The following is a 26,906-nucleotide window of genomic DNA, read 5'->3' as shown; positions in this document are numbered from 1 at the left end:
GTGGGTTTGTCATAGATAGCTCTTATTATTTTGAGATACGTCCCATCAATACCTAATTTATTGAGAGTTTTTAGCATGAAGGGTTGTTGAATTTTGTCAAAGGCCTTTTCTGCATCTATTGAGATAATCATGTGGTTTTTGTCTTTGGTTCTGTTTATATGCTGGATTACATTTATTGATTTTCGTATGTTGAACCAGCCTTGCATCCCAGGGATGAAGCCCACTTGATCATGGTGGATAAGCTTTTTGATGTACTGCTGATTCGGTTTGCCAGTATTTTATTGAGGATTTTTGCATCAATGTTCATCAAGGATATTGGTCTAAAATTCTCTTTTTTCGTTGTGTCTCTGCCCGGCTTTGGTATCAGGATAATGCTGGCCTCATAAAATGAGTTAGGGAGGATTCCCTCTTTTGCAGTTGATTGGAATAGTTTCAGAAGGAATGGTACCAGTTCCTCCTTGTACCTCTGGTAGAATTCAGCTGTGAATCCATCTGGTCCTGGGCTTTTTTTGGTTGATAAGCTATTGATTATTGCCACAATTTCAGAGCCTGTTATTTGTCTATTCAGAGATTCAACTGCTTCCTAGTTTAGTCTTGGGAGGGCGTATGTGTCAAGGAATTTATCCATTTCTTCTAGATTTTCTAGTTTATTTGCATAGAGGTGTTTGTAGTATTCTCTGATGGTAGTTTGTATTTCTGTGGGATCAGTGGTTATATCCCCTTCATCATTTTTTATTGCATCTATTTGATTCTTCTCTCTTTTCTTCTTTATTAGTCTTGCTAGTGGTCTATCAATTTTGTTGATCTTTTCAAAAAACCAACTGCTGGATTCATTAATTTTTTGAAGGGTTTTTTGTGTCTCTATTTCCTTCAGTTCTGCTCTGATTTTAGTTATTTCTTGCCTTCTGCTACCTTTTGAATGTGTTTGCTCTTGCTTTTCTAGTTCTTTTAATTGTGATGTTAGGGTGTCAATTTTGGATCTTTCCTGCTTTCTCTTGTGGGCATTTAGTGCTATAAATTTCCCTCTACACACTGCTTTGAATGTGTCCCAGAGATTCTGGAATGTTGTGTCTTTGTTCTCATTGGTTTCAAAGAACATCTTTATTTCTGCCTTCATTTCGTTATGTACCCAGTAGTCATTCAGAAGGAGGTGGTTCAGTTTCCATGTAGTTGAGTGGTTTTGAGTGATTTTCTTAATCCTGAGTTCTAGTTTGATTGCACTGTGGTCTGAGAGACAGTTTGTTATAATTTCTGTTCTTTTACATTTGATAAGGAGTGTTTTACTTCCAACTATGTGGTCAGTTTTGGAATAGGTGTGGTGTGGTGCCGAAAAAAATGTATATTCTGTTTATTTGAGGTGGAGAATTCTGTAGATGTCTATTAGGTTCGCTTGGTGCAGAGCTGAGTTCAATTGCTGGATATCCTTGTTAACTTTCTGTCTCGTTGATCTGTCTAATGTTGACAGTGGGGTGTTAAAGTCTCCCATTATTATTGTGTGGGAGTCTAAGTTACTTTGTAGGTCACTAAGGACTTGCTTTATGAATCTGGGTTCTCCTGTATTGGTGCATATATATTTAGGATAGTTAGCTCTTCTTGTTGAATTGATCCCTTTACCATTATGTAATGGCCTTCTTTGTCTCTTTTGATCTTTGTTGGTTTAAAGTCTGTTTTATCAGAGACTAGGATTGCAACCCCTGCCTTTTTTTGTTTTCCATTTGCTTGGTAGATCTTCCTCCATCCCTTTATTTTGAGCCTATGTGTGTCTCTGCATGTGAGATGGGTTTCCTGAATACAGCACACTGATGGGTCTTGACTCTTTATCCAATTTGCCAGTCTGTGTCTTTTAATTGGAGCATTTAGCCCATTTACATTTAAAGTTAATATTGTTATGTGTGAATTTGGTCCTGTCATTATGATATTAGCTGGTTATTTTGCTCGTTACTTGATGCAGTTTCTTCCTAGCCTTGATGGTCTTTACAATTTGGCATGTTTTTGCAGTGGCTGGTACCAGTTGTTCCTTTCCATGTTTAGTGCTTCCTTCAGGAGCTCTTTTAGGGCAGGTCTGGTGGTGAAAAAATCTCTCAGCATTCGCTTGTCTGTAAAGTATTTTATATCTCCTTCACTTATGAAGCTTAGATTGGCTGGATATGAAATTCTGGGTTGAAAATTCTTTTCTTTAAGAATGTTGAATATTAGCCCCCACTCTCTTCTGGCTTGTAGAGTTTCTGCTGAGAGATCCGCTGTTAGTCTGATGGGCTTTCCTTTGTGGGTAACCTGACCTTTCTCTCTGGCTGCCCTTAACATTTTTTCCTTCATTTCAACTTTGGTGAATCTGTCAATTATGTGTCTTGGAGTTGCTCTTCTCGAGGAGTATCTTTGTGGTGGTCTCTGTATTTCCTGAATCTGAATGTCGGCCTGCCTTGCTAAATTGGGGAAGTTCTCCTGGATAATATCCTGCAGAGTGTTTTCCAACTTGGTTCCATTCTCCCTGTCACTTTCAGGTACACCAATGAGACGTAGATTTGGTCTTTTCACATAGTCCCATATTTCTTGGAGGCTTTGTTCATTTCTCTTTATTCTTTTTTCTCTAAACTTCCCTTCTCGCTTCATTTCATTCATTTCATCTTCCATCGCTGATACCCTTTCTTCCAGTTGATCACATTGGCTCCTGAGGCTTCTGGGTTCTTCACGTAGTTCTTGAGCCTTGGCTTTCAGCTCTGTCAGGTCCTTTAAGGACTTCTCTGTATTGGTTATTCTAGGTATCCATTCATCTAATTTTTTTTCAAAGTTTTTAACTTCTTTGCCATTGGTTTGAATTTCCTCCTGTAGCTCATAGTAGTTTGATTGTCTGAAGCCTTCTTCTCTCAACTCGTCAAAGGCATTCTCCATCCAGCTTTGTTCTGTTGCTGGTGAGGAGCTGCGTTCCTTTGGAGGAGGAGAGGTGCTCTGCTTTTTAGAGTTTCCAGTTTTTCTATTCTGTTTTTTCCCCATCTTTGTGGTTTTACCTACTTTTGGTCTTTGATGATGGTGACATACGATGGGTTTTTGGTGTGGATGACCTTTCTGTTTTTTAGTTTTCCTTCTAACAGACAGGACCCTCAGCTGCAGGTCATTTGGAGTTTGCTAGATGTGCACTGCTGACCCTGTTTTCCTGGGTATCAGCAGCAGTGGCTGCAGAACAGCAGTGGCTGTAGAACAGCGGATATTGGTGAACCGCAAATGCTGCTGCCTGATCGTTCCTTTTGAAGTTGTGTCTCAGAGGAGTACCCGGCCGTGTGAGGTGTCAGTCTGCCCCTACTGGGGGGTGCCTCCCAGTTAGACTACTTGGGGCTCAGGGACCCATTTGAGGAGGCAGTCTGCCCATTCTTAGATCTCCAGCTGCATGCTTGGAGAACCACTGCTCTCTTCAAAGCTGTCAGACAGGGACATTTAAGTCTGCAGAGGTTACTGCTGTCTTTTTGTTTGTCTGTGCCCTGCCCCCAGAGGTGGAGCCTACAGAGGCAGGCAGGCCTCCTTGAGCTGTGGTGGGCTCCACCCAGTTCGAGCTTCCCAGCTGCTTTGTTTACCTAATCAAGCCTGGGCAATGGCAGGTGCCTCTCCCCCAGCCTTGCTGCTGCCTTTCAGTTTGATCTCAGACTGCTGTGCTAGCAATGAGCGAGGCTCCATGGGCTTAGGACCTTCTGAGCCAGGTGCGGGATATAATCTCCTAGTGTGCCATTTTTTAAGCCCGTTGGAAAAGTGCAGTATTAGGGTGGGAGTGACCCGATTTTCCAGGTGCTGTCTGTCACCCCTTTCTTTGAATAGGAAAGGGAACTCCCTGACCCCTTGCGCTTCCCGCATGAGGCAATGCCTTGCCCTGCTTTGGCTCGCGCATGGTGCGCTGCACCCACTGTCCCACACCCACTGTCTGGCACTCCCTAGTAAGATGAACCCAGTACCTCAGTTGGAAATGCAGAAATCACCCATCTTCTGCATCGCTCATGCTGGGTGCTGTAGACCGGAGCTATTCCTATTCTGCCGTCTTGGCTCCCCCCGCCTCCTTTATTCTTTTTTAAACTTTGTCTTTTCTTTCTCAGTGAATTGCACCGCTATTGCTCAGGACAAAATCAGATTTGAGTTGCTTTTTACTTTTCCCGTATTGCCCACCTTTTTTTTGGTAATTTTTATTTTAGGTTCTGTGGTACATATGCAGGTTTGTTATATAGGTAAACTTGTGTGATGGGTAAATTTGTGTCTTGTTGTACAGTTTATTTCATAACCCAGATATTAAGCTTAGAACCTATTGATTATTTTTTTCTGCTTCTCTCCCTCCTCCCGTCCTCCACCCTCAAGTAGACGTTTGTGTCTGTTATTCCCTTTTTTGTGTGTATGAGTTCTCATCATTTAGTTCCTACTTACAGGTGAGAACATGTGTGGTATTTGGTTTTCTGTTACTGCATAAGTTTGCTAGGATAATATCCTCCAACTCTATCCATGTTCCCACAAAAGACATGCTTGCATGCTTTTTTATGATAGCCCAATTTTAATCCAACATTAAATCCTATTGCCTCTATCTTCAACATGTATGTGTGTGTGTGCATATATATATACTAATTGTATGTAATATATATGAATTATATATACTAATTATATGTATACTAATTAGCAATATACTTTACCTTAACCATATGTATTTATATGTGTGTGTGTGTGTGTGTATATATATATGTGTGTGTGTGTATATATATATATGTGTGTGTGTATATATATATATGTGTGTATATATATATGGATCTTTTCTTCATCTGTCTTTTAGAGAAAACAGTGCTTAAGCTAAAATTTATTGGTAATTAGTAGGATAATGAGGGCTTAGGTGACAAACTCAAGCCATTCGGCAAGGAGAGGAGTGGTCATGGTAATGGTGACAGGAGAAACAAGTGCCCACACCTAAGTGAAATGAAGTGAGGTGGAGAGAACTGAATGAATCTAAGGCAGAACATAAGATGTCTTTGTTAGTCCATTCACAGAGCATTCAGATCCATTTGTGCCCTATGGTATCTGGCTTTCATATTAAAAGAGAGAGCTACTATTTTGTACCCTAGGATGAAAGACATAGTACGCTTTGGGGAGGGAACTCTAATTTGTAGTGTTTGCCACTTTCTGTAGTATAAATACTCCCACCATAACCAATTTCACGAAACCAGTATTAGCTCTCTGAATGCTGAGTTGGGAAGAGATGTAAAGAATCAGCTCTCACTTGGCAGTGGTGGCCTGGCACACAACTACTGGGGGTACAGTTTTCATTAGTCACAATGTTTCTTCAAGGTGTTGGCCAGCAGCTATCTCCTAAGCAAGCAGAGGTAAGAGAGTGAGTGAAACAAATAACAACCTCATGCCATATTCATCAATTTGTTATTCATAACATATTCATCAATTTGTTATTCCCCCCAACCTCCTTACTGGATTTTCTTTCCTTTGAAAGGAGTTTAAAGATATTACTAGCCCATCAGGGCTTTACCCTCAATTATGTGTCTTCGTTTTTTTGTTGTTGTTGTCGGTTTTTTGTTGTTGTTATTTTTGCTGTTTTTTATCACTAAGGTGTAAGTTTGGGCTGCAAATCCTCATGGGAACCAACTTGTGGTTATGACTTCTTTCAGGGACTGTTCCATCCATTCCTCTACACCCTACCATTTTCTTCAACACCAAAGACATTTTCATAAAAGTATCTCAAGGATTAAGGAGGGGGAAGAGTTAGTTCTGGTTTAGTCTTATCTTTAATATATTTTAATCTGATTTCCCTGTTTTACTTGGGGAGAGGATCTCCATTTAAAATTCTTCCTTACCAAGGACCCTGGGCATTGACTTCTGAAGTTCAGGGCTCACTAGGCAGTCAAAAGAAATCAGTTTCACCCATTTTGCAAATCCCTTTGGGGAAAAAGCTTTTTCCATTCTTGGCTAAACTCTGGTATTTCTGCTTTTGCTTTGATCAATGGTGGACAAACTACTAGGTATTTAAATGAAGTTTTGTTAGGGCACAGGCATGTACCTTTATTTACATATTGATTATAACTGCTTTTACAATGATGGTGTTGAGTAATTCTGACATACACTGGCTAACAAAACCTAAATATTTACTATCTAGCTCTTTATGGGAAATATTTGCCAACATCTGACTTAAATAATCAGTTCTCAAATTTTTTATTCTAGGATTCCTTTATATTCTTTAAAATTATTGGGATCCTCAAAGACCTTTTTCTTAAAAATTATATCTATTTTCACTTTTCATATTACAACTTAAAACTGACAAATTAAAAATATATTAATTTATCAAAAATAGATTAATCACATGTCAACACTAATTTGTAGTACTGACACTACATTTTACATTTCATAAAATAACATATTTTATGAAAAACAAATATCCAAAATTTAAAAAGTATGATATTAATATTATGTTTTTGTAGTTCTCTTGAAAGTCTAGTTTAATGGAAGCTGGTTAAATTATCTTATTTGTTTGCATTCAATTTGCTGTGATTTATTGTTTTGATTGAAGTATATGAAGAAAATTTGGTATTACATGAATATATAGCTGAGAGAAAAAGGAATATTTTAATAGCCTTTTTGGATGATAGTGGATATTCTCTTTTAATATTACACCAAAACTTGTAGAGTGGTAGCTTTTTAAAGGTTAATGGTAATGTGAAATTTTAAAGTGTATCAGTGAATTTTTACATTCAATTACATTAAATCTGTCTTGCTTTTGGAATGCATATTTTACCAATGCATTTTGTACATATGCATTTTATAACTTAATGTGTCAGTAATTTGGAAAATATTGATTCATTGGGTTTTGAAGGTATTCCAAATGTTTATACAATTGTCTTATTCATTTCAAGCTGCTATAACAGAATACCATAGACTGGGTGGCTTAAACAATATAAATATATTTCTTGCAGTTCCCAATGCTAGGAAGTCTAAGATTAGGGTGCTGGCAAATCTGGTGTCTGGTGAGGCCTTTTTTCTTTGCAGGTTGTAATCTTCTTGTTGTATCTTCACATAATGCAGAGAGCAAGGAAGCAAACTCTCCATGTCTTTTCTTATAAGAGTACTAATCCCATCATGGAATCCCTACCTTCATAACCTAATTGCCTCTCAAAGGCTTCCTCTCCAACTACCATGAACATATGAATTTTGAGGGCACACAAATAGTCATCCCATAACAAAAATATTTTTTAAATATGTTAAGAGCAACATAAACTGAAAGCAAGCAGAAGAAAATAAATAATAACAATTAGAGTAGAAATAAATGAAATTTTAAAAAAGTAAAAAATTGAAAGCAAAACCAAACCTGGTTCTTTGAAAAGTTCAGTGGATTTAATAACCCCTAGCCATGTTAACAAAGAGAAAAAGAAGGCACAAATTACTTATATCAGAAATGATGGAGAATCCATTACTAGCAATCCCAAGGCCATTAAAATTATTTAAAAATGGAATATTATAACCAAATCTATGCCCACAAATTTGATAACTTCTATGATATAGGCCAATTCCTTGAAAGATAGACTCTATCAAAACTCATGCAAGGAGACATCTATAACATCAGTAGCCCTATATATATTAGGAAAAAAATTCAATAACCTTCTTTTAAAAAAAGTGCCAGACACAGATGGTTTTACTGAATTCTACCAACCATTTTGGAAATAAATATACCAATTTGCTACAATCTCCTCCAGGATATAGAAGCAGGGGGAGCACTTTTTTCACAGATTCTATGAGGCCAGCATTACCCTAATAAAAAAATCAGGTAAAGACATTACAGAAAAGGAAAACTATAAACAAATACCTATCATGAACATAAATATAAAAATCTTCAGCAACATATTAGGAAATTGAATCCAACAATGTATAAAGAGAATTATATACCATGACCAGTGGGCTTTATTCCAGGTATGCAAAACTGGTTCAACATTCAAAACTCAATTAATGTCACGTTAATAGGCTAAAGGAGAAAAATCATATGATCATATCAACAGATACCGTAAAAGTATTTGACAAAATCCAGTACATACGCATGATAAAACTCTCAGCCAAGTAGGAATAGAAGTAAAATTTTCTCAACTCGCTAAATACTTAATGATGAGAAACTAGATGCTTTGTCACTAAAACCAGAAACAAGTTACTGCCATCACTCACATTCAACATCATACTAGAAGTCTTAGCTAAGGCCATAAGACAAGAAAAGGTACACAAAATGGAAAATAAGAAATAAAACTGTTACCTCAAGAAAGAAAAAGTGTGTGTATATGTATATATATCTGTAGATATACACACATATAGATATAGATACACACACATATTTGTAAATAGTTTTATTTCACATATATGAAATATATATGTATATTTGAAATATATATGAATATATATGTATATATATGAAATATATATATATATACACACACACACACACATACATATATATTTGAGATCACATGATTGTCTATGTAGAAAACCCCAACAAATTGATAAGAAAACTCCTGGAATTAGTAAGCAATTATAGCAGTTTTGCAGGATACAAACTTAATATACAAAAGTCAATTGGTTTTCTATATATCTAAAATTAAAAACTAGAATTTAAAATTAAAACACAATGTCATGAAATTTATATGAGTGAGTGAGAGAGAAAGAGAGTGATATTTAAGCAGAAATCTAACAAAATATATGTAGGATCTACGTGAGGAAAACCAGAAAACTGATTAAATCAAGGAATATATAAATAAATTGAGTTATAGTTCATATTTGCAGGAAGGAAGGCTCAAAATTCTTTAAGATGTAAATTCTTACTAACTTGATCTGGAGATTCAGTGCAATTGCAATCAAAATTTTAGAAAGTTATTTTGTGAATATTGACAAACTGATTGTAAAGGAATAATTTATATGAAAATGCAAGGACTCAAATAACCAACATAATTTTAAAGAAAATAGATATTAGCCCTTTGTCAGATGAGTAGGTTGCAAAAATTTTCTCCCATTTTGTAGGTTGCCTGTTCGCTCTGATGGTAGTTTCTTTTGCTGTGCAGAAGCTCTTTAGTTTAATTAGATCCCATTTGTCAATTTTGGCTTTTGTTGCCATTGTTTTTGGTGTTTTAGACATGAAGTCCTTGCCCATGCCTATGTCCTGAATAGTAATGCCTAGGTTTTCTTCTAGGGTTGTTATGGTTTTAGGTCTAACGTTTAAGTCTTTAATCCATCTTGAATTGATTTTTGTATAAGGTGTAAGGAAGGGATCCAGTTTCAGCTTTCTACATATGGCTAGCCAGTTTTCCCAGCACCATTTATTAAATAGGGAATCCTTTCCCCATTGCTTGTTTTTGTCAGGTTTGTCAAAGATCAGATAGTTGTAGATATGCGGTGTTATTTCTGAGGGCTCTGTTCTGTTCCATTGATCTATATCTCTGTTTTGGTACCAGTACCATGCTGTTTTGGTTACTGTAGCCTTGTAGTATAGTTTGAAGTCAGGTAGTGTGATGCCTCCAGCTTTGTTCTTTTGGCTTAGGATTGACTTGGCGATGTAGGCTCTTTTTTGGTTCCATATGAACTTTAAAGTAGTTTTTTCTAATTCTGTGAAGAAAGTCATTGGTAGCTTGATGGGGATGGCATTGAATCTATAAATTACCTTGGGCAGTATGGCCATTTTCACGATATTGATTCTTTCTACCCATGAGCACGGAATGTTCTTCCATTTCTTTGTATCCTCTTTTATTTCATTGAGCAGTGGTTTGTAGTTCTCCTTGAAGAGGTCCTTCACATCCCTTGTAAGTTGGATTCCTAGGTATTTTATTCTCTTTGAAGCAATTGTGAATGGGAGTTCACTCATGATTTGGCTCTCTGTTTGTCTGTTATTGGTGTATAAGAATGCTTGTGATTTTTGTACATTGATTTTGTATCCTGAGACTTTGCTTAAGTTGCTTATCAGCTTAAGGAGATTTTGGGCTGAGACTTTCTAGATATACAATCATGTCATCTGCAAACAGGGACAATTTGACTTCCACTTTTTCTAATTGAATACCCTTTATATCCTTCTTCTGCCTAATTTCCCTGGCCAGAACTTCCAACACTATGTTGAATAGGAGTGGTGAGAGAGGGCATCCCTGTCTTGTGCCAGTTTTCAAAGGGAATGCTTCCAGTTTTTGTCCCTTCAGTATGATATTAGCTGTGGGTTTGTCATAGATAGCTCTTATTATTTTGAGATACGTTCCATCAATACCTAATTTATTGAGAGTTTTTAGCATGAAGGGTTGTTGAATTTTGTCAAAGGCCTTTTCTTCATCTATTGAGATAATCGTGTGGTTTTTGTCTTTGGTTCTGTTTATATGCTGGATTACATTTATTGATTTGTGTATGTTGAACCAGCCTTGCATCCCAGGGATGAAGCCCACTTGATCATGGTGGATAAGCTTTTTGATGTGCTGCTGGATTTGGTTTGCCAGTATTTTATTGAGGATTTTTGCATCAATGTTCATCAAGGATATAGGGCTAATATCCAGAATCTACAATGAACTCAAACAAATTTACAAGAAAAAAAACAAACAACCCCATCAATAAGTGGGCGAAGGATACCAACAGACACTTCTCAGAAGACATTTATGCAGCCAAAAGTCACATGAACAAATGCTCATCATCACTGGGCATCAGAGAAATGCAAATCAAAACCACAATGAGATACCATCTCACACCAGTTAGAATGGCAATCATTAAAAAGTCAGGAAGCAACAGGTGCTGGAGAGGATTTGGAGAAATAGGAACACTTTTACACTGTTGGTGGGACTGTAAACTAGTTCAACCATTGTGGAAGTCAGTGTGGCGATTCCTCAGGGATCTAGAACTAGAAATACCATTTGACCCAGCCATCCCATTACTGGGTATATACCCAAAGGATTATAAATCATGCTGCTATAAAGACACATGCACACCTATGTTTATTGTGGCACTATTCACAATAGCAAAGACTTGGAACCAATCCAAATGTCCAACAATGATAGACTGGATTAAGAAAATGTGGCACATATACACCATGGAATACTATGCAGCCATAAAAAATGATGAGTTCATGTCCTTTGTGGGGACATGGATGAAATTGGAAATCATCATTCTCAGTAAACTATCGCAAGGACAAAAAACCAAACACCACATGTTCTCACTCATAGGTGGGAATTGAACAATGGGAACACATGGACACAGGAAGGGGAAGATCACACTCTGGGGACTGTTGTGGGGTGGGGGGAGTGGGGGAGGGGATAGCATTAGCAGATATACCTAATGCTAAATGATGAATTAGTGGGTGCAGCACACCAGCATGGCACATGTATACATATGTAACTAACCTGCACATTGTGCACATGTACCCTAAAACTTAAAGTATAATAATAATGATAAAAAGAAAATGAATAAAGTTGGAAAACTGACACTGACTTCAAGTCTTATTATAAAGTCACAGTGTTCTAGTGAAGTGGTGACAGAGAAAAAAATACAGGGATAAATCAGTGGAACAGAATAGAAAGTTCAGAAATCTGTGTACACAAATGGCACTGGAACAACTGGGCATCCACATCCAAAATATAGAATTCAGATCTATATTTCTATCTTTTACAAAAATTAACTCAAAATAGATTATACATCTATAAATGCAAAACTATAAAATTTCTAGAAGATAATCAACAAGAAACTCTTAGTGACCTTGGGTTTGGCAATGAATTTTTAGATAGAACACCAAAAACATGGTCCCTGAAAGAAAATTAATAAATTGGACTTCATTAAAATTTAAAACTTCTGTGATGCAAAAGACACTGTTAAGAGAATGAAAAGACAAACTACAGACTGGGAGAAAATATTTGCAAAACATATAACTGATAGAGGATTTTTAAAAATATACAAAGATCTCTTAAAACTAAATAGTATAATAATACACATAAAATACCTCAATTACAAAATGGGCAAAAGATCTGAGAAGATACCTCACCAAATAAAAATATCAAAAGATGCTCAGCATCACATACAATTAGGGGATTGCAAATGATAACAACAAAGAGATACTACTAATGCCTATTAGAATGACTTAAATCCAAAAATCTTACATCACTGCATGCTGGATAGGATGTGGAGTAACAGGAATGCACATTCATGTATTAGTGGGAAGGCACAATGGTGCAACTGCTTTGGAGGAGAGTTTGGCAGTTTCTTGAAGTGCTAAATTTAGTCTTAGCATACACGCTAGTAGTTGTGCTTCAAGATACTTAACCAAGTGAGATGAAAGCATGTCAACACCAAAACCTGTGCACAAATGTAGCTGCTTTATAGCAGCTTTACTCATATTTGCTAAAAAATTGGAAGCAACCCAAGATGTTATTCCATAGATGAATGGATAAACTGTGGTACATCTAGGTAATGGAATATTATTCAGTGATAAGAAGAAATGAGCCACCAATCCATGCAAAGACACAGAGGAAACTTAAGAGCGTATTGCTAAGTGAAAGATGCCGGTCTGAAAAGGCAACATACTGTATGATTCTATATGATGTTCTGGAAAAGGCAAAACTACAGACAATAAAATGATCATGAATTTGGAGAGAGGCAGAGAGAGATTAGGTGAAACAGGAATTTTTATGTCCCTGAAACTCTTCTGTGGGATAATGTAGCACAGACACATAACATTTTCTATTTGTCCAAACACATAGAATGGCACACCCAAACAATGAACCCTAATAAACACTGTGGAATTTACTTAATAACAATGTATCAATATTGATTCATATTGAACAAATGCAATGCACTAGTGCAACATGTTAATAATACAGAAAGCTGGGGAGTGGAGGAGGGAATGTATGGTAACACTCTATACTATCTGTTCAATTTCTCTGTAAACCCTAAACTGCTAAACAAAATTAGAGAGCCTATTGATTTTTAAAAATTACATTTGTTAATATCACTACTGATTTTCTCAGAAAACTATGTATAGGACGGCTGTCAAGCTCATGGAGGCAGATAGAAGTTTTCCAAAATTTTATCTTATTTTTTGCTCCAAGCTCAAATTTTATCATTGGCAAAAAATACTGTCACTTGTTTTCCTTGAAGGGACAGTCTGGCTTTCTTTATTCATTTTTAAGAAAAAAATTGGAAAATACCCAAATATGAATAACTAAAGTTTTTCTGTCAGCTCTTTCAGTTAAAAATGGAGATCCACACAAAACGTGGCTAGTAGAGCTCACAGGTCAAAAGGCACATGGGCTTTTCCTCAAGACAAAACACTATTTTTGGTTACACTGAAAATGCTTTGTTTCTGCCCATTTCATCCCACAAGGTATTAAAAAGATATGTACTCAGTGGCCAATGTCTTTAAAATTATTTTTACTACTCAGAGATATTCTTAAGTGAAACTCCCTTCCTCCACTTTTTCTCTGTGAGTCTGTGGTAGAATACCCTGACCACTAATACAGTTTGGGCTACCATCTTAACTTGGGCCAGGGTACCTGAAGTTTTTAAGCCCTCCTCCCCCTTAATTTCTTCTGCACCACCAGTGCAAATGTCAGCCCAGTGAAAAAGGCAAATGACATTCCAGTATTCTTATGAAAATAGTTTTGACCTCATATACTCCCAAGTGGGTGTCAGGGTCCTCCAGTCATAGATGGACCACAATTTGAAAAGTACTGGCTTAGATTTTGGTCCTATAAATATTTTTATATTTTCAATTTTTAAAAATGGTTTAAAGAGAATTTCAACCTAATTTTTATCTATTATTTCAGCAGAGGATTGGTCTGAATAACGTAGCTCATCATCTGAATAATTGGAGATTGAGATCCATCTGACCAGTTTTTTTAACATCTGCCTGATCACTTTTGATAGTATCTTGTTGCTTCCTTATTCTGTCTTTTTAGTGTTTACTAAATTATAACTGAATAACCAAAGGCAAACAGATCACATTTGGTTGAACTTAATAGGTGAAAGCCTGAGAATATAAATTGAGGGTGCTCTTCCTTAGGAGATATTTGTATGTGCTTCTTGCAGAAAGCCAGCCGGCACTACTCATTGGATAAACACCGTCTTCCCCTTGAGGGACCTGGTTCAATGCAGGGCTGAATACCGTATCAGCATCTACTCTAGAGGAAGTCCAGCTTTTTCTTTGGCTTATTTATCACAGTTCAAGTTTCTGTTTGCTATTTTTTTAATGTTATTCTCTTAGATCCTCATGAAGCAACTATATCATGCATGCTTATTTTTCTCTATCTGGGATCTATTCCTGTTTCATAGATGGAGACGATAGAATTTAGAAGGAAGACCCTGAACTTGCCTGAATTGTGTGACTTTTTTCATAGTTTTTTTCTTTATATGGCAGTCAATAGAGATCTTTATTGTTCTTATAGCACTTATTCCTAGCTAAAATTATATTTTTAAAGTTTACCTGTTTGTCTCCTGCATAAGAGTATAAACTCTAAAAGGGTGGAGTCTTTTGTCTTATTCTGCCCTATGCTTAGAGCAGTGCCTGGGACACAGCAAATTCCCACTAAGCATTTACCAAATAAAGGAATGAGTGAAGTTGGAACTTCCATCTATTGATGAAGTTAATCACTAAAGTTGCTGCTCAGTTGAAGTGAGTTACTGACTGTCTTCTAATTCTCAGAGCCTTGATTCTCATTTTGCCCTAAGAGCCTTCTGTTTATTACCTTTGTATATTTCTCTAGATATTTCAGCTGACAGAATCTACTATAGTCAATAACCTTTTCTTATGAATGAGACCCTTGTATCCCAGAGAGTGAAAGTGGTTTGCTCATGGTCACCTGACCAGTTTCTGGTAGCACTTGAACCACAAGCACCTAACCATGTGTCATACATATATCTTCACTTCTTGTAACTCTACGAGGCTAGAAGTATCCTCTGGTTATTATTAATTCCAAATGAGGAAAGCCAACAGGCATCATTAACTTGGGAGTTTGAGATTTCCAGGTCAAGGTATGAGTCAAATAGAAAAAAGAAATTGTAAAGAGTTGGTTCCAAAACCATTTTTTAAAAACATACACTTTTCTGACCACTGGAAAGGTTCATTCTTAAACTCTGGTCAGAGACCAGAGGAGACTAGTCTGTCTGTAGGAGACTAATGGATAATGCCCTTCAAAATGAGTACTAATCTTCCAATGTGTGAAACATGGCATTTAAGCAAATAACAACCTTTCACTGCTTGATTCTAGTGTAGGGATCTATACTCATCTTTCATTCCTTCTATAAAAGCCTTGATAAATATAACTCATTTTATATCTATGTCAGATGAGCAATATCAGCCCTTAGTATCATTTCTGCACCTTTGAAATCTCTCTCTGAATTTACCTTTTCTTGTCAAGTATGACACTTTAAGGATAGATTTTTCTTCCCAGGCCAGTACAGTTAAGCTAATAAAACAAGCTGATTCCCAACCATTTTTTATTTTCTTTTGAAATGCTTTAGAAATCACTTATGTGTTAGGACACTCATCAAATAAACCCACATTTTGACATCCACATTAATATCCAAAGAGACCACTTAATGAGCAGTGTTCTTACCAAGAAGAATGAAGAACTTTTGAATGGCAAAATAATCTAGAATTACACATTAAGTGAAATGTTACTGAGAGAGAGAGATGGAGACTTTAGAACTTGGAGAGGTTTGGAACCTGCAGGATGCATGAATAGGGACCAGTGTTCCTGCTGCTGTGGTCTTCCCAGGATAACCTCCCTTTTCTGCTAATGTACTGGTGCATGGCATAGCAAAGTCAAAATAAAATGGGTCCTTGTTTTGGGGGAGAGATGAAGAAGCTGGGCTCCTCCCCCATGACTCACCCAGCTGGCTGTGAGGTTGAGAGAGTCTTTTTTAAGACTGGGAGGAGAGCGGAGGAGGCAAGAGAAAAGCTCTGGAAGGCTATGCAGAAATTAACTTTTCTGAATAGCACATAAGAAGGTGCATATGTGAATTAGAGGGATATTTGATGTTGCCAGAAAGCATGCAGTTTGTATAAAAGTGAAATTTAGAGAGATGCACACCTAAAACAGATTGTAGGGGACCTACCAGGGTTGGCTGAAACAGGATTTCCCAGGATCCATCTGTGCTTATTCTTTTCTAGCCTAGAGAGTATCTGGAACAGGACCTGTAGCCTGGTAGACATTTAACAAACAGCAGCTGCCATTACTGTCATGGATTTGGTGGCCTCAATTCTACTTTGGAGGTATAGTGGCAAAATATACTGAACATCATCTTAGGATTCCAAAAACCACATGTATCCCAACTTCCCCTTCCTAATTGGTTTGATATGGACAAGTTATTGAATCTCTCTGGGACTCAATTTTCTAATATGGAAAATGGAGGTAAAACCTGTCCTATATGTCTACATACTACATAGGATTGTATCAAGGAAAGTAAAGATGCTGAATGTAATAATGTTTTGTTAGAGAAAAAGTACAAAGGTTGATGGCAGTATTGATGATAATGACAACATTACTAGCTACCTATGAAATATTAGTTACGAGGCATAGAGCTAAGGAAATTTCACATAGATTGCATGGTACATTTTTATAGAAACCACATGGAATAAGTATTTGACAGTTGAGGAAATTGAAGCTCAGAGAAGATGCTAGAGGTTGGGTTAGGCAAGTAAGTGCTAGAATTAGGTTTTGAATGGAGGTATGTATTATTTTCTGTCTACCATGCAACTTATTAGCTAATATTTATTGAGCTTTTACTCTAAGCCAGGCACTGCCAAATGCACTCTGTATATATTACTTCAGTGAATCCTCAAAACACTACTCTGAGGGAGAAATTAAATACTGCTATCATCATTTTACAGTTGGGGAAATAATACCTTCACAGTTATTCTATTCATTGTACAGATGGCCAGGTCCCAGCCCCAGAAAGCTTTCTTCTAACTGGGTCACAGAGGGTTCCAGCTGCCCACCCACTACTGGCCCCACAGGGATCCAGGAGAATGCTATTTATGTCTCTTGCCCATCCCACAGAGCCTGGCACCCAGCTCCCTGGGGGAGGACTGCTCTTTGGAATTCCTGGCACTGTCTCCATTCTCCTCCTCCTCATACGCTGCTCATCTCTCCCAGTAATGCCTGCATTCAGTTTGTCTTTTAGCTCAGGCACAGGCAAGCATGGCCCATGCTTAGGGGGCCCAAACTGGTTACTGAAATCTAGCCAGTGCTTCTGGCATCTCATACTTTGGAAAGGAGACTGGTAGGAATTACCAGGGGCAGGATCTTCACCTGCAGCTAACTCTCTGGGAAGGTTTGTTAGAAGGTTTTCTCCACCTGCCAAAACCATGTTTGCTGTGCAGCTGGGTTTGTTGCATGTCTGTGGGGCATTTCCTTCCTGTTTCTGTAGCCCCTTCGGCACTGGGGAGCTGGTAACCTAGGAAATGGCGGTGTGTGGGAGAAGAAGGCTTTGGTGGCGCTAAGTTGCCAGTGTGATTGTCAGCCTGGTGGGCTGACTCTGAGGGGGTAGGTGTGTGAGAGGGTGGCTGAGGGTGCTGGGCGCGTGCGTGCCTGTGGTAGCTGGAGTGCTGGCACAGCGTGTGGGTGTGATTGCAATGTGAGTGATGCACACTGAGGATAATTGTCAGGCAGCTCAGATTTTTTCTTCTGTCTTTTTTTTTTCTTTTTTTCCCCCTAATTTATAGTAGGTAAAGAAATCCTCCTCTGCATCAGCAAGATAATATTTTTGAAAAGTTTCCAAGGGGATGAATTATGTGCTGTCTCAATTCCTCAGTGTTATTGATTCTCCAAGGCTTTGTGACTAATATTTCTTAATGAGGGGGCCTGGGGTCTGGATGAAGCTTGAGAAGCCAGCCTTGCCTCCTTTTTAGCATGAAAGGAATGCAAGCCAGATGCACCCTGGGGAAAGGTCACCTGCAGAGGCCAACCTTAGTTTTTGTATCCAACCTCCACTCCCCATCCCCACCTTTTGGTAGTACTAGATCCAAGTTTGCTTTAGAAACACATCCCACTCTTATTCTTGATTCACGGGTTTGGTAAAGACTATCCCCACACCCCTTTAGGGAAGGCTCATAACCCAGACCCAAGCCATATTAGCATATGTCATGTAACTACTACATTGGCCAGTTCAAGCATGGGCCGGAGACTCAAATCAGACTGAAATGTTAATACTGAAGAACTGAGATTTTTTTTTTTCCAGAGACAGGGTTTCATTCTCTTGCCCAGGCTAGAGTGCAGTGGCATGATCATAGCTCACTTGGAGGCTCACCTCAGCCCCCCAGCCTCAAGCGATCTTCCCACCTCAGCCTCCCAAGTGGCTGGGATGACTGCCCAGCTTGAAGGATTTTTTTTTTTTATTTCTAAAATGAAAGATGTAATTTTAGAATTTTTGGCAATAATCTTATCTAGATAGTCTGCATGAAAATGGAGCTAACACTAAAGGATTTAGGAAGAGGGAAAGGAACAGAGCCTAAGTCATATCATCTAAGCCTCTGGATCCAGCTGTTCTTGAGGCAGGTTCCATGCCTAAACTTTTTCATCATAGAAATCAATTAGCTCCTTTTGTGCTGCACTCAGTTTGAGATGAGTTTCCTGTGACAGGAAAACTGCTTTTCAACTGGGAGAGATTCTGCCAACAGGGGACATTTGGCAATGTCTGGAAATGTTTTTGTTTGTCACAACGGAGAAGAGGTACCACTGGCATGTAGTGGGTAGAGGCCAGGGAGGTGGCTAGATGTTCTAGGATGCACAGGACAGCCCTCACAATAATTTCTGGTCCAACATGTCAATAGTGTTGATGTCAACAAACTTGCCACACATGAAGCTGTAAAATCTGCTGATCCGTAGCAAGGCTGTCTTTCTCACTTCTCCCTTCCAGGTAACAGTTTCTCTTGCCATGGATGAAACCTTGAATTAGAGGCTTATGAGGGACCCTGAGGCTTGTGATGCCTCAGAGGTGATGCTGCTTGCAAAGTCAGCTGACCTTAGTTCTCAAGGGCTTTGGCTTCCATAGGAAAAACTGCAAATAGGTAGAGGACAGACAAGGTCCCTGGACTTTCTATATCTGGGTCTATGATCTCACTTCAAAGTTTTGGAGTAAGAAATTCTGTAGATCCTGATTTACTACCCATCATTCATTTAATACACTTAAGCTCTGTGCCAGGGGTAATGCTAAACACTTTACAGGAATGTCTAATGGTAGGCTTTTCTTCAACCACAGGGGAGAAGTTGAGGAAATGTCCTCACTTTATCTCCATCTGCATTCGGGGATCTAAAAGTACATGTTCCTCAAAGTTCCAAAGTCTACACAGAGGTTTTGTTGAATTTTCTGTCTTGATGAGTAGGTTCTCTAACTGTTATCCATCTCATGCACCTTTCTCTGAGGCAAATACACTTTGAATTCTGGTAAAAGCATGTATATACTAGAAATGGTTGGAGTGATGTTCTCAGACCAGGTGAGATTTGGTGGTATGTGATTTAGGGGAGAAGGGCTGAGGTGCCATGAGGTGAGATCTCTTTTTCATGTAGTGTTCCTGTCTCTTCTCTGTACCTGTGATCTGCCACTTCTCCTTTAAGAAATGACCTGGTCTCAGACTCCTCACTGCCATTTGGTGCTGTGCAAATTTCATACCTTTTGGTGTTAGTGCCAGGTCCAAAGGAATGTATGTGTGTGCATGTTTGCATGTGTGTGTGTGTGTGTGTGTGTGTGTGATGACTTTAGCCTCCCATCATCTCAATTAACCATGCCCTGCATTTTTGACACGGGAAAAAGATATTTTTTTCAGTTTTCTTCAAAGTACTATGTGTCAGTGCAACTTCAAGGAACAATGGAGCCACTCCTATCATTTTATCTCCTCCTGATTTGTAGATATTTCACAGATTTCCCTGCTGAGCTTTCATTGTCAATGGTTCGTTTTTACCATTGTTATTTTTAGAACACAGAAGGAGAGGTGGATACCCGTACTTCTGTTCCCATGATTGGAGAGATGGGAAGAAATGGTAGTCGTCTTATACTTTGACCTATTGCAATTTTTTCTGTAGAGTATCTAAAATTGATAATCTCACCACCACAAGGATTGTTTTTCCTTATTACTCTCTTTTACAGATAAGAAAACTGAAGCAGAGAACTGTTGTTACTTCTCTAAGTCACGTTTCTAATAGGTGATAAAGGTTAGATTCAGTTTAATCTGGCACCAAAGACTACTTGTAACTACTCTGCTAAACCACGTTCTATCCCATAATCAGGAGTGTTGGACTTTATTTAGAATTGACCTTTCCAAATCACCTGGTGAGCAACTCAGTCTTTCTTTCTTTTTTTTTTTTTTTTTTTTTTTTCTTGAGATGGAGTTTTGCTCTTGTTGCCCAGGCTAGAGTACAGTGGTGCAATCTCAGCTCACCACAATCTCCACCTCCCGGGTTCAAGCGATTCTTCTGCCTCAGCCTCCCAAGTAGCTGGGATTACAGGTATGTGCTACCACGCCTGGCTAATTTTGTATTTTCAGTAGAGACGGGGTTTCTCCATGTTGGTCAGGCTGATCTCAAACATCCAACCTCAGGTGATCCACCCGCCTTGGCCTCCCAAAGTGCTGGGATTACAGGCGTGAGCCATCACACCCGGCCCAGTATTTCATACTTATAAAAATTATTCCAACTATTGAGACAGAGATTGAGTGAAGAGAAGTCATTATTGTGAGGTATTAAACCTGCTTTCTTTGTGACTGATAATTAAATAAGCTGGGCTTGGTATAGTGCAATCAGGAGGCAATTAGATTCTGTTTCCCATCTGCCCCTTTTAATCTTTTCTGTGGATTTAATACTATGTATTATTTATCTATTGCTGCATAACAAATTACCCCCAAATTTGGCAGCTTATAATAACAAACACGCAATATCTTACACAGTTTCTGAAAGTCAGAAATCTAGAAACAGCTTAGTCAGGTGGTTCTGGCTCTCACACTCTATTGTGGCTATAGTCATAATGTCAATGGGGTTTATAGTTATCTGAAGACTTGACTAAGTCTGGAAAACTCACTTTCAAGCTGGGTCACTAATATGTCTCTGGGTAGAAGCTCTCAGCTCTCAACACAGAGACCCCATAGACTTGCTTGAGTGTCCTCATGGCATGACAACTGGCTTACTCTAAAGTGACTAATCTATGCAAGAAGGCAAGGAAGAAGCTAATGTGATGTCTTTTACAACATAGTCCCTAGTCATACTCCATCACTTTTTCCATATTTGATTTTTATTTTTTTTCCAGAGACGAGGTCTCATTATGTTGCTCAGGCTGGATTCAAATCCATGTGCTCAAGTAATCCTCCTGCTTTAGCCTCCCAAGTAGCTGGGATTACAAGCATACACCACTGTGCCCAACTTACTTCCTTTATAGTCTTTTCTTTAGAAGAAAGTCATTAAGTCTAGCCCACACTCAAGATGAAGTGGGTTAAACTCTACCATTTGAAGGAAGGAGTATCAAAGAATTTGTAGACACACCTTAAAACTACAATGTACTGCTTCCCTGAATAAAATCTCAGGCACAGCTTATAACTCTTCTGGTCATTCTCAGATAGTAAAACTAACCAGCCCAGTCTAATAAAAACTCCTACTCAATTTTAGCCTTCTGACTTTGCCCAGTTGAGGCTTATTCACTAAAGGGAAGGAAGATTTTGGTTGATTCTTCCTCTCTCCATTTTTTATTCTCATTCATTTGCTACTATTGGGGGTCCCTCTAGAGTCAGGCCTTGATGGATTTGGACAAGAAGATCTAGAAGCCACATTCGGATTTTGTTAATGCCTGTGTTTGGTAGTGCCAAAGCTGAGGGTTTCTATTACGAACAGCCCTTTTTGGGGTCTTCAGTGGTTCTTCTCATAGGAACCTCCCCTAATACAGATAGAGCCACTGAAAGTGAAATCTTCTCTATTTGTCCACTTACAACTCTCTCCTCAGTCTGTATCTTCCCTTTCTGTGCCACTACCATCAACTCAAACCACAGCCAAGCTTTTCAGTGTTTCTCCTAAAACTTCTCATTTAGTTTTAGATGAAAAAGAGACACCCTTCTCTCAACATTCATGGTGATGGTTTAGTGATTGAGAAAACCTCTTCCAAGTATTCTTTTCCACCCACATCTTAAACCTGCAACCTCTAAGTGGTTGATGAACTAAAGATTGAAGGTCCATTATCAACAGCTTCAATGTATCCTAATTATGAGGACCACTGCCTATTGTATTGTCTTCAACTGTTGAAGCTTCTACAGGACTTGCAAAGAACAGAAAAAAAATAATGTTTAACATCCTATTATATCTATATAAGGTGACTAATAATTCCTCACATCTTAATCTCTTAAACGTTAGCTCAGATAATTTTTCTCCTACAAAGGGGGGTAAAATGTTACTTTTGATAATGGAGATAATAAAGGTTTGATTCCAAAACTCCCAATGCAATAGTTAATTTTAGATGTGAATTTGATCATAAGTGTGAATTTAGTTGAGGAAATATAAAGTGATGTACTAGTATAATCCATCAAAAAATCTCAGCTGCATTCTTACACCAGCACAGCAGTATCCTGGCAAAGATAATCATGTTTCTGAAGAACCCTATTGACTCTTGGGAAAGCCTGGTTTAATTACAAGCCATAGTGTATTCATACACATTTATTATTGATATAGCACTTAGCCTTCTGGCTTCTCCACACTTTCCCTGACAGAAACCCATTACCTCCCCTGCTATGTTTACTTTTCTGATGGAAGTTAACTTTACAGGATGTCATGAGAAGGCAATGGCACATTGAAAATCCTGCCCATGGCTTGGAACTTTATGTCGACTATTTCTCTGAGAAATGAGAACCCATATATGATTAATGAACAAAGGTATGCGTCTTTCTGTCTGTGCTAAAACGCCTTAATATATTTGTGTGCCTCTTATGGAATTTTCATCTCTAAATTATAGATATTTCTGTATTTGACTTTTCTAGTAGAATGTACCCTCCTGTATTTGCATCCCAGTTCTGTACTACTCGTCTCCTCACCCAAACCCCTGCACCTAGATAAAGACTAACAGGAATATAGTGAACTCTTTAATCATGTATTAACTTGGTTAATGGATAGATGAGAGAATAGTGAGATGAACCACTGAAGAATTAAAGAACAGAATGTTCTCAAAAAATCCACTTTACTGAACTCCATAAGCCCTTTTTAGAGAGCCAACATTTCTCTCTTCTCACCCCACTTCATGAAGAGCAGAGGTTGGAAATGTGTCCAACAGGTCACAGATCATTGAGTCAAAACTGGTCAGCTGGCTCAAGTTGAGCCAAACAGATTCTTCTTGAAATTTAAATTTGTAAGATAGTAACTCTGATCAGTTATCTAGATGAACTTTTGTCAGGCAGTACTGATACAGTTGGGTTAAAGACAGAATTAAGGATAAGCACAGAAAAAACGCAGAGATGGGCATGGTTTAGCCCTTGAGAGAATGGCTGTTTTGGTTCCTGATGACTTTGTAGTCCCTGATAACTTTTCAGTTTTCAGTTTTGGGCTCCACACTTCTACTCTTGAATTAATGGGTACTCTTGTCAGGGCCTCAACATGGCTAACTCCTTAGGCCATTCTCATTTCATCTTGAATGTCACTTCCTAGCAGAAACATTCCCTTAATAGCTCTTGTCATGCTCTTTACCTTAGGTCACTCTGCTTGTTTTCCTCACAGCATTTAGCACAACATGGGTATTGCTGTTTGAGTTTTTTTTTCTTTTTTGATCAGATTCTCTTAATAGAATATACCACAACAGATAGCTTCTGTATTTGTTTCACTACTGTTTTTTCAACACTGTAAAAGAGTGGAACTACACTGGAGGTCTGAAGAAGTAGACTTTGAATAAATAATAGGTATAATAAATATTTCCTGTTACTTCAGCCATTTTAAGGAGGCTCCTGTTATTCCAACCATATGAATATCAACACTTAGGAACAATGGCTGCAGGGGTTATTATTGCCCATGTTAGTGAAGAGTCTCCTAAGACTACCATGCACTTCAGTTTTTCCATCAGCTCTAAAAAAGAATCATGTAAGAGAAGATCATGCTCACATCTATCCACATCTGGTTTGGTATGTCTGTTCAGTCTGTTTATTCTCAGTCCACTCAAATCACTAATTTTTATTTTTATCCACACATGTAGACTGGGGAGTGTTCACACATTTCTTCAAGTTATTGTGTCCTACAAATCATGTGTCATCTTTAATATTTTTCAGATACTTTGGAAATGGTGGTGGTGGGGTACTCATTTAACTTAATCTGAAACCTCTTTTATGTAATAGTCAGGGGTAAATTATCACTTATTATTTGAGCATAGTTCTTTCCTGTTTATTGTTGAAAACCTTCTGAGAGAGTCTCAGGGAGATTAGAGAGGCACAGCCAACTATGCCTCCAATCTAGGAAGGAAGTGAGAAATCCTACCTCGTAATGGTCTTCCAAAAACCCAGAAGCACTCAGAGTTCTGTTGCACAGACATGCTGACAAGTACACCATGTGACTCATTTGTGCAGTATATTTGCTCCTATTGATCCATTGGCAGTAAGAAGATTGCGTATCTCAGGAATGAGGTGTGGGAGTGCATTGTTCAGTTCTAAGGTACTGAGTGTGCGGGGGCTGCATGTGCTGTGGAGCAGGCTCCAAATGAGTCATATGTCTGTTAGGAATGTTCCTTTGGATCTGCTGCCTGTGTTTTCAATCTCACATTACTCCTAAGTACCTTACTGACAGCTCGTACTCACACCTCACAGCTTAGAATGGCCTGTCTCTAGAAGACCAATCAAGTCCAAGAAATTCAAGTCCAAGGACTTGAATCAAGTCCAAGAAAGATCACTTCAGGAAACAGTATAGTATCCATGGTGTCATTCTCCTTGGCAAAAAAAAAAAAAAAAAAAAAAGTGACACAGAGTGGAAGTATGAGCAGAAAAATGGACTTCTGGAGTCAAATGGACTTGAATTTGAATAGCAGCTCAGTCATTGCCTAGTGGGGGAACATAGACAAGATTTTTCACTTCTCTTTAAGCATTAATGTTTTTTACTCCAAAACATTATTGGCATACCAAACTGAATTACTTTATAGGGTCATGGTGGTAATTGAATAAAACAACATACATACAACTCTCTGTCACAATACTGAAATATGGTAGGCAATCCCATTTTTTCCTGGAGCCTTGTTTGTATTAATAATAATATGTCATATTCTTGAGTACTTATTATATGCCAGGCACAGTGATAACTACCTTAATTGTTGGAGTAGATATGGTCAATTGTCTTTCCTGTATTCATGCTTCTGTATTAACAGACTCCTAAATTTTGTGCCTGGCTTAAGAGCTACTTTTCTTAGTTTGTCTTGAAGAGCCATGTGACAAAGTTCTGGCTAAAGATTTAGATTGAGAAGTCTGCTAAAGATTTCTGGGAAAGTCCTGCCTCTCCCTAGTTTCTTCTGTTTTCTACCTGAAGTGCATATGTGAACATTGAGTTGAGCAGCCTTTTAGTTCCTGTCAGGCCACCATGGGGATGCAACCTCATATAAAGGACAATGGAGCAGGAGGATAGAAGGAGCCTAGCACATCTGTGCCAACCCTGAAATGCCTACGTATAGGCTGAGTTTGTGAAATACATTTCACCCATTGGGTGAAACTTTGTAAATGGATTTTATATACATGCAGCCAAATTCAATCCCTAAGAAATAAATATGCATTATTTTATTTATTATTCTGATCACATTTTTGACATTATCAAATCCATTTTATATTAAATATATGGAGACAGATTAATCAACCTGCCCAAGGTAACATATGATACGCCTAGGAAGTAAAATAGAGATCTAAATCCATGCTTTAACCAGTAAAATATAAAGTCGGAATGACAGTGTTTCTTCCATGGCCTTTCTAACTACTTCACAAATCTTTGATTTTATCTTTTTATCCTACAAACTTGTTCTGATCATTTTGTATTTTTGTTAAATCCTCCTGAAATTCTCCCAGACTGTAAATCTATTGGAAAATGTTTGAGCTTACGTGGAATTTTTGGCATCACCTAAGTGTCTGATCCAGGCCCTAGTCTGGAGCATTTAACATTTAACATTTAACTTTCTGATCATTTAAAAAATGGCATGGTTTGAGTGGATGATCTCTAAAGTCCTTCTATTTCTAGTTGCCTGTGACTCTGAAGGTACTATTTAGCCAATTTTTAATTAGTCAGCTAGCTGATAATTGAATTTTTATTTTTTCTAGTTCATATCATGTATCCAGTAGGTATTGAATAAATATGAATTGATGGTTATAGTAGAGACTATGCAACCTTTTCCTGATTTTTTATGTTTTCTTCAAATCATTGTCTTTTTATTATTTCTATTTCCACCCAAAGCCTAATATCTCATTAGGAGATTTGGAAGACCTGATCCAGTCAAGATCAAAGACCATTGCTTCAGTCAGGTCAGAATCAAAGAGAACAAATCAAAGGCCCTAAAACATAATATTTGGGGGAAAAATACAAGTTACTCAATGGGTGAAGGAATGGTTTTGGCATATGGATTCAGAAAAACAATCTTCAAATAAGAAAGAGCAAACCAAAACAACTTTAGTTTGAAAGGAGAGGTAAGGTGGTATTAAGAGGAACTGGGGGAGGATATGTGTTATTTTTGAAGCATTTTAGAAAAATAACAGAGGGGAGCCAAGATGGCTGAATAGGAACAGCTCCAGTCTACAGCTCCCAGCATGAGCGACACATAAGATGGGTGATTTCTGCATTTCCAACTGAGGTACTGGGTTCCTCTCACTGGGGAGTGCTGGATAGTGGGTGCAGGACAGTAGGTGCAGTGCACTGTGCATGAGCTGAAGCAGGGTGAGGCATCACCTCACCCAGGAAGCACAAGGGGTCAGGGAATTCCCTTTC

The 26,906-nt window shown here is 38.2% G+C and overlaps 2 annotated features.

Moving 5' to 3' along the window:
• Positions 22,009 to 22,178: an enhancer, noted in NCBI's record as "experimental_21149 CRE fragment used in MPRA reporter constructs". NCBI's record gives its function as "activates a minimal promoter by MPRAs in K562 erythroleukemia cells, with activity observed for both the introgressed and non-introgressed 11:29797949 variant alleles {active_cell/tissue: K562}" and the evidence as "EXISTENCE:reporter gene assay evidence [ECO:0000049][PMID:34662402]".
• Positions 23,573 to 23,742: an enhancer, noted in NCBI's record as "experimental_21146 CRE fragment used in MPRA reporter constructs". NCBI's record gives its function as "activates a minimal promoter by MPRAs in K562 erythroleukemia cells, with activity observed for the introgressed 11:29796385 variant allele {active_cell/tissue: K562}" and the evidence as "EXISTENCE:reporter gene assay evidence [ECO:0000049][PMID:34662402]".

Source organism: Homo sapiens, chromosome 11 (genome assembly GCF_000001405.40).
Source record: "Homo sapiens chromosome 11, GRCh38.p14 Primary Assembly".
NCBI lineage: Eukaryota > Metazoa > Chordata > Mammalia > Primates > Hominidae > Homo > Homo sapiens.
This window is presented reverse-complemented; position numbering and strand designations above follow the sequence as displayed.